The sequence below is a fragment of the Homo sapiens genome, chromosome 21, assembly GCF_000001405.40.
Source record: "Homo sapiens chromosome 21, GRCh38.p14 Primary Assembly".
In the NCBI taxonomy this organism is placed as follows: Eukaryota; Metazoa; Chordata; class Mammalia; order Primates; family Hominidae; genus Homo; species Homo sapiens.
The window spans coordinates 39273238-39293389 of NC_000021.9; the positions used below are offsets into that span (position 1 = coordinate 39273238).

The window sequence follows — 20152 nt, forward strand, 5'->3', positions numbered from 1 at the left end:
ACCCCCATTCCCTTTATTTCAACTAATCAAGGATTGACAGTATTCACTTTCATACTGAGATGTAACATTTTTATATATAATAAAGATTTTTTAATTTGTTTATGAGCAAGGGTTATCAAATTTCCAGTATATATACTTTTCATTCTCTATCACAGATAATTCCACAAAAAAACAAGATCAAATTTATTTTGAAAATGCAATACAATTCTTTGAGCTACAGCAGAGAATATAAGTCAATTTCTGTTGTTAAAAACAAAGCATTTGGGAGGCAGAGGCAAGAGGATCACTTGAGCCCAAGAGTTCAAGATGAGCCTGAACAAAAGTCTTTACAAAAAATAAACATAAAAATTAGCCAGGCATGGTGGCTCATGCTCATAGTCCCAGCTACTTGGAAGGCTGAGATGGGGGGACAGGCTGAGATGGGGGGACTGCCTGAGGCCGGAATGTCAAGGCTGAAGTGAGTCACGATCATACCACTGGCGCTCCAGCCTGGGCGATGGAGTGAGACCCTAAACCATTTTTTTTAAATAAAAATAAAGCAGACATGATTTCCAGAAGACAAAATGTGGAAACGTTTCTCAGAAAAACTGATATGAAAAAGTGCAAAGTTAAAATCAGGAAACAAACTCTAAAGTAAAATCTATGACTTTTATTTTTAGAGAGTCTCGCTCTGTCACCCAGGCTGGAGCTCAATTTTCTTTTTTAACCTTAATAATAAAGTATGTTTGCTTACCCTATTTCCCAGCCTTGGCTCTAAGCTACTTTTAAATTTTTTCAAAAATCCTATCCACAGAAAAGTATAATTTCCACTCTTAACGTACTTGAGTTAATTTTATCTTTTTTACTTGTAGAAGCTTTTAAATGCAACATCTAAGAAGGAGGTCAATGCTTTGAACCATAGAAAAAGTACATGTTATTCTTTGCTATACAACGTAAGGATAAATTTACCTGGATGTCTCTGTTCACCTGATATGCAGTACGCAGCTATTCACTTATACCACAGCTCTTCGTAATAGAAGGTAGCTATAATCCCCTCAACAAAATAACCACTGAGAGACACAGAGAGCGAGAGAGAGAGAGAGAGAGAGACAGATCGAACACCTATGATGCACCTACTTCTAACAATCTCAACTTACCCTGAGATTCTGGTAGCCATATCCAATAAAATGCTCCTCCATTCTAACTGCTCAAATCTCCAAATCCGTGCTGTTCCATCTCTGCTACCACTTAGGAACCTTAAAACATTCAGAACAGGATCTTACTATATTCACACACTTTCCAACAAGGGCTACAATTAAAATCACATGCAAAAAAAGAATGTAATGAAGCTGTCCTAACAACAGGACAATCCACAGGTGTTAATTCAAAAGACAAGGTATTTAGAGCGTATCTGGATGGGAAAAAAAATTTGGTTTGCTATGATTTGCCCGGCCCTATGAAATAAAACACACCTCAAACTCAATCAATAGCTTTTCAAACAGATTAAGTTTTGAAAATACAATGTATAAGAATGCTGAGAAGAGGCAACCTGCAGTGGCTCATGTCTGTAATCCCAGCACTTTGGGAGGCCAAGGTGGGTGGATCACAAGGTCAGGAGTTCGAGATCAGTCTGACCAACATGGTGAAACCCCGTCTCTACTAAAAATACAAAAATTAGCCAGGCGTGGTGGCACATGCCTGTAATCGCAGCTACTCAGGAGGCTAAGACAGGAGAATCGCTTGAACCCAGGAGGGGGAGGTTGCAGTGCAGTGAGCCGAGGCTGCACCACTGCACTCCAGCCTAGGCAACAGAGCTAGACTCCGTCTCAAAAAAAAATAATTAAATAAGAATGCCAAGAAGAAAAAAAAAACAGAAAAAAGTTTTGAAGTATAGGAAAATAAGAGCAATAGCTCCATTTTAAACATCTTACTTGTTAATTCAAATTAATTCATGTTGGACACTGTGTAAAAATAAATCAATCTATTAACAAATTAAGTTCTCAACAATTAGTTTAGCAAAGGGACCTGACACACAATGGAGGCAAAGAAGGAGTATATGATTTAAGTAATAATTTCTTTGCAGGATATATCACGGTGGTTTCTTAGAAAAGTTTTTTTTAACTACCCAAACAAGAAATTTAATGATCCTTACACATAATTTTTTCAGTAAATCAGACATCTAGCCAAAGAAAAACTACTTTTGGTCGCTAGAAGCTGGCAGAAACTACAATTCTAAAAACTTACATTTCATGTGTTCTTCCCCCAACCCCTGCCCTAGACACTTTTCATTCAATTAATACATTTACTAATAAATACCTGCAATATACAAAGTGACAGTTAATTATATATTATTTCAAAATTTCTGAGTAGATTTCAGATGTTCTGACTACAGAAAAATGCTCAGTATGTGAAGTGGCAGAGATGTTTATTGGCTTGATTTAATCATCCCACAATGTAAATATATATTAAAACACCACAGTGTACTTACTCCATAAACATAGACAATTATTAGTCAACTAAAAATAAAAAATAATGGCTGAGCAAGGTGGCTCACGCCTGTAATCCCAGCACTTTAGGAGGGCGAGGCAGGCAGATCACCTGAAGTCGGGAGTTCGAGACCAGACTGACCAACATGGAGGAACCCCGTCTCTACTAAAAATACAAAGTTAGCCGGGCACAGTGGCAGGCGCCTGTAATCCCAGCTACTCAGGAGGCTGAGGTAGAAGATTAACTTGAACCCAAGAGGTGGAGGTTGCAGTGAGCCGAGATTGTGCCACTGCACTCCAGCCTGGGCAACGAGAGCGAAACTCCATCTCAAAAAATAAATAAATAAATAAATAATCATAATAATATAAAGGGAAAAAATACATACAAAATGACAGGTTAGCTATACTAACATGTAGCACATTATATTTGCCTAATAACACACACACACACATACAAAACACACACTTACCGATCACCATTGTTACAAAATTGGATACTATCTACTTTATCCTAAAGGGGGGAAAAGGACAAATACAAAAATGATCATCTACATGGTCTGTGAATTTGAAAAAATGAAGTTTTAATGCTAGAAGCCTATTTGCTTTAACAAGCAAAATTTGCACTTGTGTTGCTTAGCCCTGTCATTCAACATGTTTTATAATTTTAAGTGAAGACTAACTACAAACCTAAGACTACTAAAATACAGCTTTCATTTCAAAGAAAGGCACATCTAACAGGAAAAAAAGCCTTGCTTCTAAACTTAAAGCAGTATTTATAATTACATCTGTTTAAGATGACTTATATGGAAGTGAAATGTGTGGAAAGTGCTCAAAATATAGGCTTTAAAGTAGCTAAAAATAAGGCATTTTCAATTGTTGTTTTAAGTTATTTAAATCTGTATCTATCAAATAACCTCTGGATGTGGACTGCCTTCCCAAAAGCTTCAAATAAAAGAAAAGATGGCCCAACCCTGACCAGTACTTCAGAACACTGACAGTTTTCTATCTTACTATGCATTATTAAAATCACATTCTTATTTCATGGGCTTGGTTAGATAAACAGGCTCACTTAAAGTTAACCCACCCAGATCAACTGTCATAATCAAGATTTTGAACATAAAGCTAAAATAACCACTGTAAAATATTAGGCCTCTCAAGTGCTAATCTGAGTTGCCAGTGACATACCTCCCCTTTAAATATAATTGCTTGTATGCTTAAATTAAAATTAGAATAGAATTAACAAAAACTATATTGTACCTAGACATTTTCATTTTTATAAATATACAAACATCTCTAACAATATTTTAACTGTCAAATAGAATTCAGCAAAAATTTAAGATAACATTCACAAGCAATGACTTATCTCAGAAATGCAACTATGATTTAATATTTTAAAACTTAATACCATCAAAAAGTTATAAATGACAGTTCATTTGTTCAACAGAAAAAAAATTAAAAATAAAAGTAGAGCCAATAACAATGCCCCTTAGCAATAACAGGAATAGTATTAACAATTAATCTAAAGGATTTTAAAACGTGGATGCTTACAGTGTGGCTTTCAAGTTCTGCGATTTTTTCGGGTGCTTCAAAACCCAAAAAATACATTCTGATTACATGATCAGTACTACCTGTGGCTAAAAACATACCACCTGAAATAAAAATGGTAAGGTTTAAACATCCAGTTTATAACAAATACCTGAACAAATCAAATTTCCATATTAAAATATAAAAAAGAAAGATCATTTACCCTAAAACTAAGTTTATCTCAACAGTTACATTTTCTGACTCACTATATAGAGGTTATAAAGCTGAACTTGTAGCTTTAAAAAACAAAATTAATTCAATCTGGAAACATTCACAATCTCCTCCTGTTTTTTTTGAGACAGAATCTCACTCTGTCGCCCAGTCTGGAGCCCAATGGTGTGATCTCGGCTCACTGCAACTTCTACCTCCCAGGTTCAAGTAATTCTACTGCCTCAGCCTGCTGAGTAGCTGGGATTACAGGAGCACACCAGCATGCCCAGCTAATTTTTTGTATTTTTAGTAGAGATGGGGGTCTCACCATGTTGGTCAGGATGGTCTCGAACTCCTGACCTCAGGTGATCCACCCGCCTCAGCCTCCTAAAGTGTTGGGATTACAGGCGTGAGCCAGCTGGTGGGGCGGGGAACATGGTCTCAGTCTGTCGCCCAGGCTGGAGTGCAGTGGTGTGACCATGGCTCACTGCAGCCTCAACCTCCTGGACACAAGCAATACTCCCACCTAGTCTCCTGAGTAGCTGGGACTACAGGTGTGCACCATGCCCAGATAATTTTTGTTTTGTTTTTTTTTAGAGATGGGTTCTCCCTATGTTGCCAGGGCTGGGCTCGAATTCCTGGGCTGAAGCAATCCTCCCATCTCGGCCTCCCAAAGGACTGGGATTACAGGCATTGAGTCACTGTGCCTGGCCTCCCCATCTGTATTATTAAGGGTGGCAATATAATGCCAATTAAGCACCAGCGCTCTAAAAATATTTTTAAGAAAAGAAGTTCTGCTTTCTAAACAATTCTACATACCTAACCCTAGCTTGTTCAAGTTTTCAGATTTTATGAGGGAAAAGTCTTTGACCTATCCGAAAAAAGAGAAAGGTTACCACACAAGTTCACTGTACAAAAACTGAAAAAGAATAATTTCATCAAGATATTATGTGTGGGAAATAAATTTAAACTATCAAACATACACAGTTTAGCCTATTCAAAGAAAATCACAAATTTAGATTATCATACACATAGTACTGGCATAGGAATCACTTGTGTGGACACCTCAAGCCTCCCTTTTACCAGCCATCTCTTATATCACTGATTACTACCAGAAATCAGAGAAAGGCAGACTGGAGGACTGGAAGAACAAGGCTAACAAAATAAACATCATAAATTGAACCTAATGAAATAAACACCAGAAGTCATTTACCATGTAGCTAATAAAAGTTCTTAGCAACCAAGTGGTCATTTAATAGATGTTTAAAAAAAAAAAACTAAGAAAAAAATGTGAAGAAGTTCTTACCAACACTAAAAGAAGAACAAAGCATTTGAACGCCTGGCCTAGGCTTTTCAGTGAACTTCAGGGGACGTGGGCTTTAAAAGAAGAAGATGCTGCTTTAAAATAGATTATTTTACCACATTAACACAGCTTAAAATATTAGTTTTAATCTAGCATATTTAAATATTATAATTTTTTAAGAGACAGGGTCTCGCCATGTTGCCCACACTAGACACAAACTCTTGGGCTCAAGGGACCCTCCAGCCTCAGCCTCCCTAGTGGCTGGGGACCACAGGCACACAACACCCAGCTATAATCTTATTTCTATAATACCTTATTGTATATCAAATATTTCCACAGATTTCCATGTATTTTTACAAAATATAAAAAGATCAAATTAATCATATTTCCTTTAACCCAATACACCCAAAATATCAACATGTAATCCAAATCAATAAAATTATAAGATACTTTCATATTAAGTCTTTGAAATTTTCCAGTGTGTATTTGAGACTCAAAATACATCTCAATTTGACAACTCAATTTTTAACAAAAATATTTTATCTATATTTGGATTTCCCAAAACTCATTGAAAATTTCACATACTCGTTATTCAAGATATGCTTAATTTTCTAACAGGCCAGGCGTGGTGGCTCACGCCTGTGATCCCAGTACTTTGGGAGGCCAAGGCGGGTGGATCACCTGAGATCAGGAGTTTGAGACTAGCCTGGCCAACCTGGTGAAACTCCATCTCTACTAAAAATACAAAAATTAGCTGGACGTGGTGGCGGGCACCTGTAATCCCAGCTACTCAGGAGGCTGAGGCAGGAGAATCACTTGAACCCAGGAGGCAGAGGCTGCAGTGAGCCGAGATCACGCCATCACACTCCAGCCTGGGCAACAGAGTGAGACTCCATCTCAAAAAAAAAAAAAAAAAAGAAAAAAAAAAAGAAAACGAAAACAAAAGGAAAAAAAATGTTTTAATACATTAATCAATTGTAAGTTTTAAATTTAAATTATCAATTCAGTTCCTCAATTGCACTAGCCACATTTAAAGTGCTCAACGATCATATATGGCTAGTGACTACTGTATTAGACAGCACAGGTATACAATACAGGTCTTATGACTCTCAAATGTTCCTGCCTGAATTTCCAATTATATACCTATTATTTTAAATGCCTTACTTTGTCTTTGCAAAAATGTGCTAAGATAGAAAAGCTATGCTTCTTTTACAAATCCTGCTATCTACATAATTATAAATAGGAAATAGTCAATATGGCACATATGCTGTATATAATAAAAATTAAGTTCAAAGGTTAAAAAAAAGCAACAATACACAATTTCTCATAACAATAAAACTTCATTTCATTAGATTAAACTGTAACTACATTAAAAAACAAAACCTGTTACATAATTAAAGCCACTTACCTAAATTTTAAGGATTCTAAATCCCATTGCCAAAAGCAAACTGTCCCATCAGCACCAGTGGAAACCATGTATCTTTGAGAGCCTTTGGCCATCGGGCTAAACTAAAAAGTAAAACATATACAATTCAGTTTCCAGAACTTCTACTTAAGTTACAGTTTAATAGTCTTGCAAACTTAACTTCAATTGACAGTTTCAGGAAATAAACACATGAAATCCAAAATATAGGTAATACTACCGTAGTGAAAAAATCATAACCTCTCCACATTCATTTATATGTAATATGATCTCAATAAGCCTATTTTCAGAATGAACAAGACTGGCCAGAAAAACTTTAACAAGGTGGAGATCTAGTCCTACTAGATATTAAAGCATATCACAGAGTGTTAATAATTAAAATGATCAGACAAAACAGGGTACACTGATAGAATGACCAATGGAAAAAATACAATCCAAAACTAGACCCTATTCAACCTGGGAAAGCTGACTGAAAAACTGGAAGGAAAAATGGGAGAAAACATGAATCCTAATCTAAGACTTAAGTACAATTAAGGTATTATCTCAAATCTGTTGGGCGAACAATGGATCACTGCATAAATGGTATTACAATTGTGCAGTAATCTGGAAAAAAACTAAGTCCATTCTTCAGACTACATCAGGATACATTCGAAATGGGTCAATGATTTAAATATTTTGAAAACAAAGCCATAAAATAAGGAAACACAGGAACTATACTGCAGCGCAACTTCAGAATAAGGCTAACATCTGTACTTAATAAAATACCAAAAGTGCTAAACAAGCAAGCTACAGAAAGGAAGATGAACTAGCTAGAGACATCTAGGAAGGATTAAATAGTAGGAAAATGCAAGGAAAACAAACACACACTAAGCAAAGGAATAATATCAGCACAAGTTCAAAAGCGAGGGGGAATATGGTATATGATAGAAACAAAGATCTATATGAACAAAGTGTTCATTTCTCAAAGTCATGCGGCAATGGGGTAAATGAATAGAGAATCTGGATGTAATCAAAGCAGCTTAAAGGGTAACTGTACTTTTCAAGTAAAAACACCAGAAGCAGCCAAACGATTTGTCTTACAGCAATATACAGTATTGATTGAAAAAGAAGAGGCAAGATGTAATAAAAAGCCAAGAGGGAACCCAGTTAATCTAAGAAGCAAGAAGCTTAACTGGAATACAGCTCCACCCTTCTCCCCCTAGAATGGGGAGGAAAGACCAAAAGAGAGGAGCATCAAAACTTGCTGACTCGCCCGAGTGCTGTGGCTCATGCCTGTAATCCCAGCGCTTTGTGGGGCCGAGGAGTGAGAATTGCTTGAGTCCAAGAGTTCAAGACCAGCCTAGGTGACATGGCGAAACCCTGTCTCTACAAAAAAATACAAAATTGTCCAGGCGTGATGACACACGGCTGTGATCCCAGTACTATGGGAGGCCAAGGCAGGCAGATCACTTGAGGTCAGAAGTTTGAGGCCAGCCTGGCCAACATGGTGAAACACCACCTCTACTAAAAATACAAAAATTAGCCGGGCATGATGTTGGATGCCTGTAACATAAAAAGTAGGCAGGAGTGGTGGCGGATGCCCATAATCCCAGCTACTCAGGAGGCTGAGGCAGGAGAATCGCTTGAATCCGGGAGGCAAAGGTTGCAGCAGGCTGAGATGGCGCCACTGCACTCCAGCCGGGACAACACAGCAAGACTCCTTCACCTACCAAAAAAAATATATATATATATGTATGTATGTATACATGTATATATATACGTATACATACATATACATGTGTATATATGTAGACATATATGTATACATATAAATACATGTATATAAATATGTATATATACACATATGTCAACATATACGTCTATGTATAAGTATATGTATGTACATATGTATATATACACGTATACGTATATATGGACATATACACATACGTATATAAACATATATATAAAATAAAATAAAAAATTAGCCAGGCATGGTGGCGCATGCTTGTAGTCCCAGCTACCCAGGAGGCTGAGGTTGCAAAGAGCCAAGATCACACCACTGCATTTCAGCCTGGGCAACAGAGTGAGACTCTGTCTCAAAAAGCAAACAAACTTGCTGACTCAAGAAACATTCAAGACAAAGAAGGAGCTTAGAAAAGAAAGACTAATAGTGCCATTAACAGAAAGCAAAGTAAGGAAGAAATTATGGATTTTTTTTAATGTTGAAAGTGATTGTTTATATCTAAGTAGATATGTTCCAGAATGTGGCCTAACATTGAGCTTTGCAGGCTATCTCATTAAAAGTAATGAGAAAAAGTAGTATAATTAAAGTTATATTAGTAGTTGGATATTTTTGTTAATTAAAATTGAAGATTCTTTTATTCCTTTGCTTTCTTAATAAACTTGCTTTCACTTTAAAAAAAATTTAAACACCTTCCACACTGAATTGCTAATTGGACAAAAAAATTTTTTTTTAATTAAAACATCAGAGTAAAACTCGCAACCTTGCAGAGTACTTTGAGAATTCTAGAGGCCAAGCACAGTTGCTCATGCCTGTAATCCCAGCACTTTGGAAGGCCAAGGCAGGTGGATCACCTGAGGTCAGGAGTTCAAGACCAGCCTGATCAACATGGTGAAACCCTGTCTCTACTAAAAATACAAAAAATTAGCCATGCATGGTGGTGGGCGCCTGTAATCCCAACTACTCGGGAGGCTGAGGCAGGAGAATCGCTTGAACCTGGAAGGCAGAGATTTCAGTGAGCTGAGATCGCACCACTGTACTCCAGCCTGGGCAACAAGAGCGGAACTCCGTCACAAAAAAAAAAAAAAAAAGGAATTCTAAACCTAACTGTCCATGAAAGAATATGTTTAAGTCACCTGTTCTAAATCAAATTTCCAGACAGATAAGCAATTTGTAGCTATTTCTGTCCCACTTATATCTTCATCTATTCATGGACTGATATATACTGTTTTCTTTATAACAGCTCTAAAACATTTTTATATCTCCAGCATGGCTAAACAATTCTTTGCTCTTCTTTCGCTGTCCGTGCTTATATAATTCTCTTTTAAATGAGCTTGATTGGCTGGCACAGTTCCATAAAAACAAAATCATTGGAATTTCAAATGTAAATACGCTGATTTTATAGCATAATCAGGAAAGATCTGACATATTTACAATACTGAATCTTCTGATTCAGGAACATGGTAGAGGTATTTTCACTTACTTAGACTATTTCCTTCCCCAACCCAAGACTCCGGTCAGTATTTTTAAGACCTTTCTTCATAAACATATTTCACATTTCCTGTTAAATTCATTCCTATGTGTTTGAGGGGTTTTGTTGCTATTACAAATTATACTCTTCTTCCATTGTATTTATTACTTCTTTATTGCTGGTGTACAATAAAGTTCTGGTTTTAAGACATGGGTCCTATATATATTTAACCATCGTATTAAGCTCTCAGCAGTTCTAACAAGTTTTAACAGAATTCACTAATGAAGCCTCTAAGCTTGAAGTTTTAAGAGTTGCGATTTGTTTTTGTTTTTTTAGTGTCCAACAGGTATTTTTAACTTCTGGGGGCTTCCTTTTACTGTTTCTAAATAGCAACATTTCATCAATTGCAGTATCACTGACATACAACCATGTTTTGTTATGCCCCCTCAAGGCCAGTCGCCAATGACTATAATATGTATTTCTGGATATTAAAAATAGTCTTGCTTTTTTTTTCTAAGATGGATTAGCTAAATCCTGCATAAAAGAAACAGTATGAACTATGATTTCTAAAAGTCTTCTTTGGCCTAGGATTTTAGGATTCCGTGCTACAATCTCATGTGTCTACTTCCAAAGTCCAAAGTATGCTTGAAATCTACACATTTTGAGTGACTACCTAGTATTTACCACAGGCTCATGAGCTTAAGAACGTCTACTTTTACAACTTGTTCAGTGGTAAAATAAGCACTCTTTAATATATGCTGATCCTCTCTTTTGCTATGAAAGAATGTATTATTTATTTTCTTTGGATATATAGCCAATCTTTTTTTGTGAAGAACCTCCAGCTGGGTAGGGTGGCTCATGCTTATAAAGCCCAGTGCTTTGGGAGGCCAATGGAGGAGGATTGCTTGAGGCCAGAAGTTCAAGACCAGCTTGTGAAACATAGCAAGACACTGTCTCTACAAAAAATTAAGAACTAACTAGATGACGTGGCACACACCTATAGTCCCAGCTACTCAGAAGGCTGAGGCAGGAGGATGACTTGAGCTCATAAGTTTGAGGCCAAGCGAGCTATGATTACACCACTGCACTCCAGCCTGGGCAACAGAGAGAGAACCTGCCTCTGGGGGAGGCGGGAGAACCTCCATACTGTTTCCCATAATAGTTGTACTAATTTACATTCTCACCAAAAGTGCATAAGAGTTCCCCTTTCTCCACATCCTTCCCAACATTTGTTATCCTTTGTCTTTTTGAGAACAGCCATTCTGACTGGGGTGAGGTAGTATCTCACTGTGGTTTTGATTTGCATTTTCCTGATAATTAGTGATGTTAAGCATATTTTCATATATCTGTCAGCCATTTGTATGTGTTCTTTTTAGAAATGTCTACGCAGGTCTTTTGCCCATTTTTTAACTGAATTTTTTTTCTATTGAGTTGAGTTCCTTATATGTTCTGGATATTAACTCTTTGTCAGATGCATAAAGTTTACAAGTACTTTCTCCTATTCTTCAGGTTGTCTCTTCGATCTATATTGTTTGTTTCCTTTGCTGTGCAGAAGCTTTGTAGTTTGATGTAATCCCATTTGTCTGTTTTTGCTTTTGTTCCCTATGCTTTTGGGTGTATATCCAAAGGGAAATGAAATCAGTATATTGAAGAGATAATTGCACTCCCATGTTTACTGCAGTGCCATTCACAATAGTCAAGACATGAATCAACCTAAACACCCATCTACAGATGAATGAACAAAGAAAATGCCGTGTGTCCGTGTATACACACACACAAAATGGAACATTATAAACAGAATATTCTTCCGTCGTTTGTGGTAATATGGATGAACCTAAAGGCCATTATGTTAAGTGAAATAGCAAGGCACAGAAAGGCAAACACTGTGTAATTTCACCCTTGAATTTTAAAAGTTGATTTCACAGAAGCAGAGAATAGAACAGTGGTTACCTATGGCTGGGGAGTATGGGGGAAGGGGGGGACCATGAGAAGTTGTTTCAATGGGTATTAAGTTACAATCAGACAGGAAGAATAAGTTCTGGTGTTCCATTACACAGTAAGGTGAGTACAGCAAATAACAATGTGATAGACATTTCAAGACAGCTAGAAGAGAAGATTTTGAATATTACCACAACAAATAAATGATAAATGCTTAGTGATGGATATAATTACCCTCATTTGATCCTTATACAATGCATATATGCACTGAAACATCACACTGTATTCTTTGTCTTTCTACAAGTATTATAGGTCAACTAAAAACAAAAAATTTAAAAAGAATGTAGGCTAGGTGTGGTGGCTCACACACATAATCCCAGCACTTTGGGAGGCCAAGGCAGGAGGACTGCTCGAGCCTAGGAGTGTGACCAGTTCAGGCAACATGGCAAAACCCCATCTCTACTCAAAAAACACACACAAAAAAACTTAGCCAGGTGTGGTGACACACACCTGTAGTCCCAGCTACTCCCAGCTACTCAGGAGGGTGAGGGGGGAGCATCACTTGAGCCCAGTCAACAAAAAAAAAAAAAAAAAAAAAAGAATGTATTCGTCAAAGGTAGTTAGCTGTCCTGAACTGTTAAAATGAAATCTCTTCCTGTATGCTCACTCATGCATCCTAGGGGAGATAAAAATTCACATAACATAAAACTCACCATATGAACTTTTTTTTTTTTTTTGAGTCAAGAGTCTCGCTCTGTCGCCCAGGCTAGAGTGCAGTGGTGCGATCTCGGCTCACTGCAAGCTCCGTCTCCCAGGTTCACGCCATTCTCCTGCCTCGGTCTCCCGAGTAGCTGGGACTACAGGCGCTGGCCACCATGCTCGGCTAATGTTGTTTTTATATTATTAGTAGAGATGGGGTTTCACCATGTTAGCCAGGATGGTCTCCATCTGCTGACCTCGTGATCTGCCCGCCTCGGCCTCCCAAAGTGCTGGGATTACAGGCGTAAGCCACCGCGCCCGGCCCATATGAACCATTTTAAAGTCAACAATTCAGTGGCATTTAGTACATGCACAATGCTGTGCAGCCATCGCCACTACCTAAGGTCAATAGCTACTATTTCACAAGATAAACTGCAACCTGTCAAGGCATTTTTCAATTCTCTTGGATTTTAAGTAGGCAACCAAACTTCTGGAAAATAAAAGTTTTTTATTTCCAGTATTTGTACTTTTTTTTTTTTGAGACAGAGTCTCACACTGTCACCTGGTGGGAAGTGCAGTGGCGCAATCTCTGCTCACTGCAACCTCCACCTCCCGGCTTCAAGCGATTCTCCTGCCTCAGCCTCCCAAGTAGCTGGGATTACAGGTGCCCGCCACCATGCCCGGCTAATTTTTTGTATTTTTAATACAGACAGGGTTTCATTATGTTGGTCAGGCTGGTCTGAAACTCCTGACCTCGTGATCCGCCCACCTCGGCCTCCCAAAGTGCTAGGATTGCAGACGTGAGCCACTGCGCCCGGCCCATTTTTGTTCTTGCCTAGCAATACTAAAAATGAACAGTTGTAGTAATAGTATAGTGTTCATTTTCTGCAAATACTTAATTTTGTAATATTTTTAATCTAGATAAAAGTCGTAATAGTACCATGAGCACCCATACACTGGTCATCAAGATTCACCAATGGTTAATAGTTTGCAACACTTGCTTCCTGATGTAGATATCACACTGACATGAACCATCCAAATCTACCTTGCTGACATCATCACTTCAACCCTAAAATCCTTAGTGTGTATCTCCTAACAATGACATTCTCCTACATAACTATGATTATCAATACTTCGAAAACTTACTATTGATAAAACATTATTATATAATCCATATTCAAATTTTCCAAATTTCTCAAGCATCCTTTACAGCTTTTTTCTCTCCTAAATCTAGAACCCAAATCAAGGCTCACACATTACACTAACGTTTGTCCCTTTTCCTGAGGTTCCTTATTGAAAAGCTCTCCACCTTTCTATCTTTCTTGAAACCAAACTTTTGAGGAATAAGAGATTTGTTTCACAGACTGTTTCTCAATTTGGATTTGTCTGATTGCTTCCTTGGGAGATTAGCGCCAAACATTTTTTACCTAAATAATAAGTAGGTAGAGAAAATGTTTAACTACAGATACAATGCATTTCATAGTTACAAGTCAATTCAGATTTTCTTTTTGTGTCTTGTTTTTCTCTGTATTAACCTTCAATTTTCCTTTATAAAGCTGCTTAAAATATCCTCTTTTTATTATCTGAAGGATATGTAGTGATACCCCTTTTTCAAATCTGATAATGGTTATTTGTCACGTTTCTTTTTTGTTCCCTGAACAATGTGTTTTTTACCAGTATTTTTAGTCTTTCAAAGAACTTCTGGCTTTGTTGATCCTCACTACCGTTATGCACATTTTTTCTATCCTTAATTTCTGTACTTATCTTCATAATTTCTTTCTTCTTGTTTGTTCTTCTCCTAACTTCTTGAGAAATACACTTGTGATCACTGAATTTCAGCTTCTTTCTAATACATGAATTGGGTGTAAATTTCCCCTTCAGCACAACTTCAGAAGAGAATTATATACTGCTATGAAACAACTTACCCCAAAATTTTTAGCTGCACTGGACAACAATAAATATTCATTATCTCATAGTCTCTATGGTCCAAGAATTCAACAGCAGCTTAGCTAGATAGGTCTGGCTCAGTGTCTCAAGGCTGAGAGATGCAGTCAAGATGTCGACCTGAGCCACAGTCACATAAAGGCTTAACTGGGAATAGGGGGATCTGCTTCCAAAATGGCTTATTCACATGGCTATAGCAGAAGACATCAGTTATTACCATGAAGACCTTTCCATAGGGCAGTTTGAGTGTGCAATCTACCTAACAACTGGCTTCCCCCAAGACCAGTGATTAAAGAGAATAAGACAAAAGATATTTCATTATGTTGTAGTGTAACTTCAGAAACACTGAAAGTCACATTATACCATTTTCTCAATATCTTCAAGTTCACAGGTCAACCCTATTCAGCAAGGAGACTACAGTGGCCTAAGTGCCAGAAGGCAAGAATCACTGGGCACTGCCTTGAAGGCTGGCTCCCAAAGAGTACCTCCCCCAAGTTTTAATATGTAATGTTTTCATTATTAATCAGTTTGAAATATTCTTAAATGTCTATTGTGATTTTTCTTCTTTGATGTATGGATTATTTAGAAGTACAGTTAGTTGACCCTTGAACAACGCAGGGGTTAGGGTACCAAACCCCCCCAGGCAGTTGAAAATCCACACGTAACTTCTGACTCCCAAAAAACTTAACTATTGATAAAGCCTCACCAATTGCATGAACAGTCAATTAACACATATTTTTGTATATGTTTTATATAATGTATTCTTATAATAAAGCTAGAGAAAAGAAAATGTTATCAAGAAAATCGTAAGGAAGAGAAAATATATTTACTATTAAGTAGAAGTGATCATCTTAAAGGTCTTCATCCTCATTGTCTTCATGTTGAATAGGCTGAAGAGGAGGAGGAGGAATAAGAGGAGTTGGTCTTGCTATCTCAGGGGTGACAGAGGTGGAAGAAAATCTATATATAAGTCGACCCATGCAATTCAAACCCATATTGTTCAAGGGTCAACTATACATAAAATTTACAAAAAGTGAGGATTATCTGTTATTAATTCTGGCTGTTAGTAATTTCTGGCTTAATTACACTGTTGTCAGAGAATATACTTAGAATTATTTCAGTTGAGACTTGCTTTAGACCATTTAATGTACTTGCAAGTAATATAATTATGTTTACATTGACATTTACTATCCCAGTATCATCTTAGTACTGTTTTTTTCTCCTTTCTTGTTTTACTTTCTTTATTAGTACATATTTCCCCACCTCTATTAAGCCTAGTAGTTATGCAATCTCTTGCTATACTTTTGGCTGTTATTCTAGAGATTTCAAAATGCATCTTCATCTTAAAGTCTAATGTAAATTTGTATTATTTTCCACTTCTTGAACAATGCAAAGATCTCAGAATACTGAAGTTACCGCCTCCTGATACACACACTATTCATTCTTTAATTCCATATGTATTTTGAAGCCCAGAATTTACTTATCTTATACAGCCAATGTTTATTTCCATTTACCCACACATTCATTTTTTTTTTTGTCTTAAGTCTTCATTCCTTCTTGCATCTCCAAGTTTCCACCTGGGATCACATCCCCACCTAAAGAATATTATTTAGAATTCCCTTTAATGTTGTTCCATTGCTAAGAAGTTCTCAGCTTGTCTAAATATGCATTTAATATACTTTCATTCTTCAATGATATATTTTAATAGGTTCAGAATTATTGACTGGCATTTTCTATTAGCAATTTAAAAATATTACTTCTTTGTCTATCAACTTCCGTTACTTCTATTAAGAAGCTAGCAATCAGGCCGGGCACGGTGGCTCACGCCTGTAATCCCAGCACTTTGCGAGGCCGAGGCGGGCGGATCATGAGGTCAGGAGATCGAGACCATCTTGGCTAACACGGTGAAACCTCGTCTCTACTAAAAAATACAAAAAATTAGCCGGACGTGGTGGCAGCCGCCTGTAGTCCCAGCTACTTGGGAGGCTGAGGCAGGAGAATGGCGTGAACCCGGGAGCCAGAGCTTGCAGTGAGCCGAGATCGCGCCACTGCACTCCAGCCTGGGTGACAGAGTGAGACTCCATCTCAAAAAAAAAAAAAAAGAAGCTAGCAATCAGTCTTCTTATTAGTCCTCTAATTTTTCCCTAGGGCTGCAATGATTACTCATTGTACTCCATTCTATCTATTTTCTTCTGGCCTCAATTCCACTTCACTAATTCTCTCTTCAGTTTCATCAGTTGTGTTCAGATGCTGTTAAAATCACCCACTGAGGTTGGGCGAGGTGGCTCACACCTGTAATCCCAGCACTTTGGGAGGCCAAGGCAGGTGGATCACGAGGTCAGGAGATCGAGACAATCCTGGCTAACACAGTGAAACCCCATCTCTACTAAAAATACAAAAAATTAGCCGGGCGTGGTGGCACGTGCCTGTAGCCCCAGCTACTCGGGAGGCTGAGGCGCAGAAGAACCACTTGAACCCATGAGGCAGAGATTGCAGTGAGCTGAGATTGCGCCACTGCACTCCAGCCTGGGCAACAGAGCAAGACTCCGTCTCAAAAAAAAAAAAAAAAAATGTACTACTACCCAATTAGATTGTTCAGATATATTCAGTAGGTGATAAACGCATGTGAGCCCCCGTTACAAGAAGAATCATTTCAGGGAAGACTAGAACTCCACTTTCAAAGAATTCCAAGATGATTTTAAAACAGGCACTCTCTCAAAGTATAAATTTTCTTATTTGCTGCTATATTGTCAACACATTCATATCAAACTATAAAATGTTAACTGTGAAACCTAGCAAGAATTTGAATTAATTTTCAAACTATAAAATCTTCCAGAGAACAATATACTTAACTAAAAGTAAGTACACAAACCAAAAATCTTGCTTAAACTTCCAAAATAAAACACTATCTCAGCAAGGCACGGTGGCTCAGGCTTATAATTCCAGCACTTTGGGAGGTGGAGGAAGAAGGACTGCTTGATCCTAGGAATTCAAGAACAGCCTGGACAACATGGCTAGATTCCATCCCTATAAAGAATTTAAAAAGCCGGGGTTGGTAAGCACACACCTGTGGCCCTAGCTACTCGAGAGGTTGAGATGGGCAGACCTTGACCCCAGGCTGAGGTTACAGTGAGCCATGACTGCACCACAGCACTCCGCCTGGGCCAAAAACAAAAAACAAAAACAAAAACCGCTATCTCAGTTATAACTATCTTCATCCCAAAATAGCTACTCACTCTCTTTTCTTTGAGAATACTGACTAGAACAAAAGTCACCTTTTATCATAAAATTTCACACCAAATCTATTTAAGTGACCAGTAATACACAGCCTAGGTGAATGTGCATAAAAAAATTGAACCACCACCAGTTTTCACCAAATTCTAATGAGAGATACCAATGTACCTTTAAAAGCCTTATAAATCAAACATAAAATAAAAGCCTTACAAATCATCTAACAATTTACTTCAGTCTAACCAAACGTTAAGTTTCAAAACATGATAGAAAAGCACTGAAACAGGGTAGTAGGGACAGCACTTGGCCCAACCCCACCAACATGTTTTTCCATATGTGACCACTGACCACCAGACATTTTGGTACCACCCCCACTGGCCTATACTCGCTGACCAGACCTTGTAAGTTGTCTAAAAAAACTAAAACAAGCAGCATTCCACCATGAATCCTACTAAGGAGAGTTAACTCTATCCGCCCATATGTGCACAAGGCCAGGAGAAGGACCAATCCTAACCCTGAGCCTCATTGTAATACTAAAACCTTCGCCCAGAGGGGCTTATCTGCCCCTCTCATCACGTGACATATGTGTCAGCATGATTCCTTAGTGCATCTGCACACCCTGTGCTCCATCCCACACATGTAATAACGTTCACCTACCTGATGAGTTATGCACATTACCCTCCTTAAGACACGGCAAGGCATTCCCCTGGGGAGCCAGCCAGAGAACCCTTCTTCCTTCACTGTCTCACTTATTCCCAATGTTTCAGGCATAAGTCTCTTTTTTTATTTTTATTTTTTGAGGCAGTCTCACTTTGTCACCCAGGCTGGAATGCACTGGTGCGATAACGGCTCACTGCAGCCTCAACCTCCTGGCTCAAGCAATCCTCCCTCAACCTCAGGAGTACCGAGACTACAGGCGTGTGCTACCTTGCCAAACTATTTTTTGTGGGGGGTGGGTGGGGGTGGGGGGGGGGGTCTCACTAAGTTGCCCAGGCCGGGTCTCAAACCTGTGAGCTCAAGTGATCCTCCCACCTCAGCCTCCCTAAAGTGCTGGGATTATAGGCATGAGCCATCGCTAGGCACAAGTCTTAATAAATCTCAGCATAAGTCTTAATAAATCTTGTCTGGGAAGTCTGCCTAGCCTCCTATTAATTTCTGTTACACTGACAGCCAAGAACCGTGCACTAGTAAGAGTAACATTTTCTGTCCCTAATAACTAACGGATGTAAGGCAATGATCATCAGTGAGTAATACAAAAAACACTAGACATTTTGTGCCTTCTGATGGAAGAACTTACATCCCAAGATGATCAATTCTCTATCAGTGATGAAATACTCATACCCTCGCCCCAGACGTTTTGAAATCAGAAACTTTGGGAGTAGTGCCTAACAATGTTTTAATCAAGCCCTCCAGGTGATTCTCATGCACATTAAAGAGAACCACTGCTCTACATCCAATAACCAACTTAACAGAAATACAGAGGAACATATTAAACTACTCCAACAGGATACAATGGGCAACATCCAAACTGTGGGGAAACTATAGATAACCTAGGTCCTTCAACGAAGAAACTGCAAGCGAATTTTTTTTAAACTGCATAGATAGGTGAAATTTATATTTTAAGTTTCTTTTATTCTACAGCAACCAATTGTAACATGCAGGCTTCGTTTTGCTCCTGATTCAAACAACCTAAATAAAATACCATTATGAGACAACTGGAAACTTGAACATCAATAAATAGTGTGATAATGGTGTTGCAGTTTTTTTAAAAAGGAATCTTTTCCTTCCATCATAACCGTCACTATGAAAAAAAGTGGGGAGGGGAATCCTTATCTTTTAGAAATACAGAATGAAATATTTGCAGAAGAAATTATATAAAACCTAGGATTCGCTTTAGGTACAAGATGAAGCAGTTAGGAAAGAATTGGCCATGGGTTGACAGATACATAGGGGTTTATACAATTCTGTCTACTCTGTATAGGTTCAAAATTATCCTCTGCTTATTGTGAAAAAAACTTTAAATATTTTGGTAAATTAAATCAACTAAGCGGCACGGTGGCTCACGCCTGTAATCCCAGCACTTTGGGAGGCTGAGCCGGGCAGGTTACTTGGTCAGGAGTTCGAGACCAGCCTGCCCAACATGGTGAAACCCTGTCTCTACTAAAAATACAAAAATTAGCCGGGTGTGGTGGTGGACACCTGTAATTCTAGCTACTCGGGA

At 38.1% G+C, this 20152-nt stretch overlaps 1 protein-coding gene across 7 annotated transcripts in view; it reads right to left on the reverse strand.

The window, feature by feature from the left end:
* BRWD1 (bromodomain and WD repeat domain containing 1) overlaps positions 1–20152 on the reverse strand; it is a 137037-nt gene that overhangs the window by 89062 nt on the left and 27823 nt on the right. For 6 of the 7 annotated variants that reach the window (XM_017028373.2, XM_011529611.2, NM_018963.5 and 3 more), the window contains exons 9-13: positions 6911–7011; positions 5506–5576; positions 4014–4114; positions 2936–2976; positions 1137–1235 (exon numbers count right to left, since the gene is read on the reverse strand). In XM_017028373.2, the coding sequence (XP_016883862.1) occupies positions 1137–1235; positions 2936–2976; positions 4014–4114; positions 5506–5576; positions 6911–7011 (413 nt within the window). Of the gene's footprint in view, positions 1–1136; positions 1236–2935; positions 2977–4013; positions 4115–5505; positions 5577–6910; positions 7012–15530; positions 15553–20152 lie in introns of those variants that run through there. The other variant, XM_011529612.2, reaches the window with a different exon arrangement.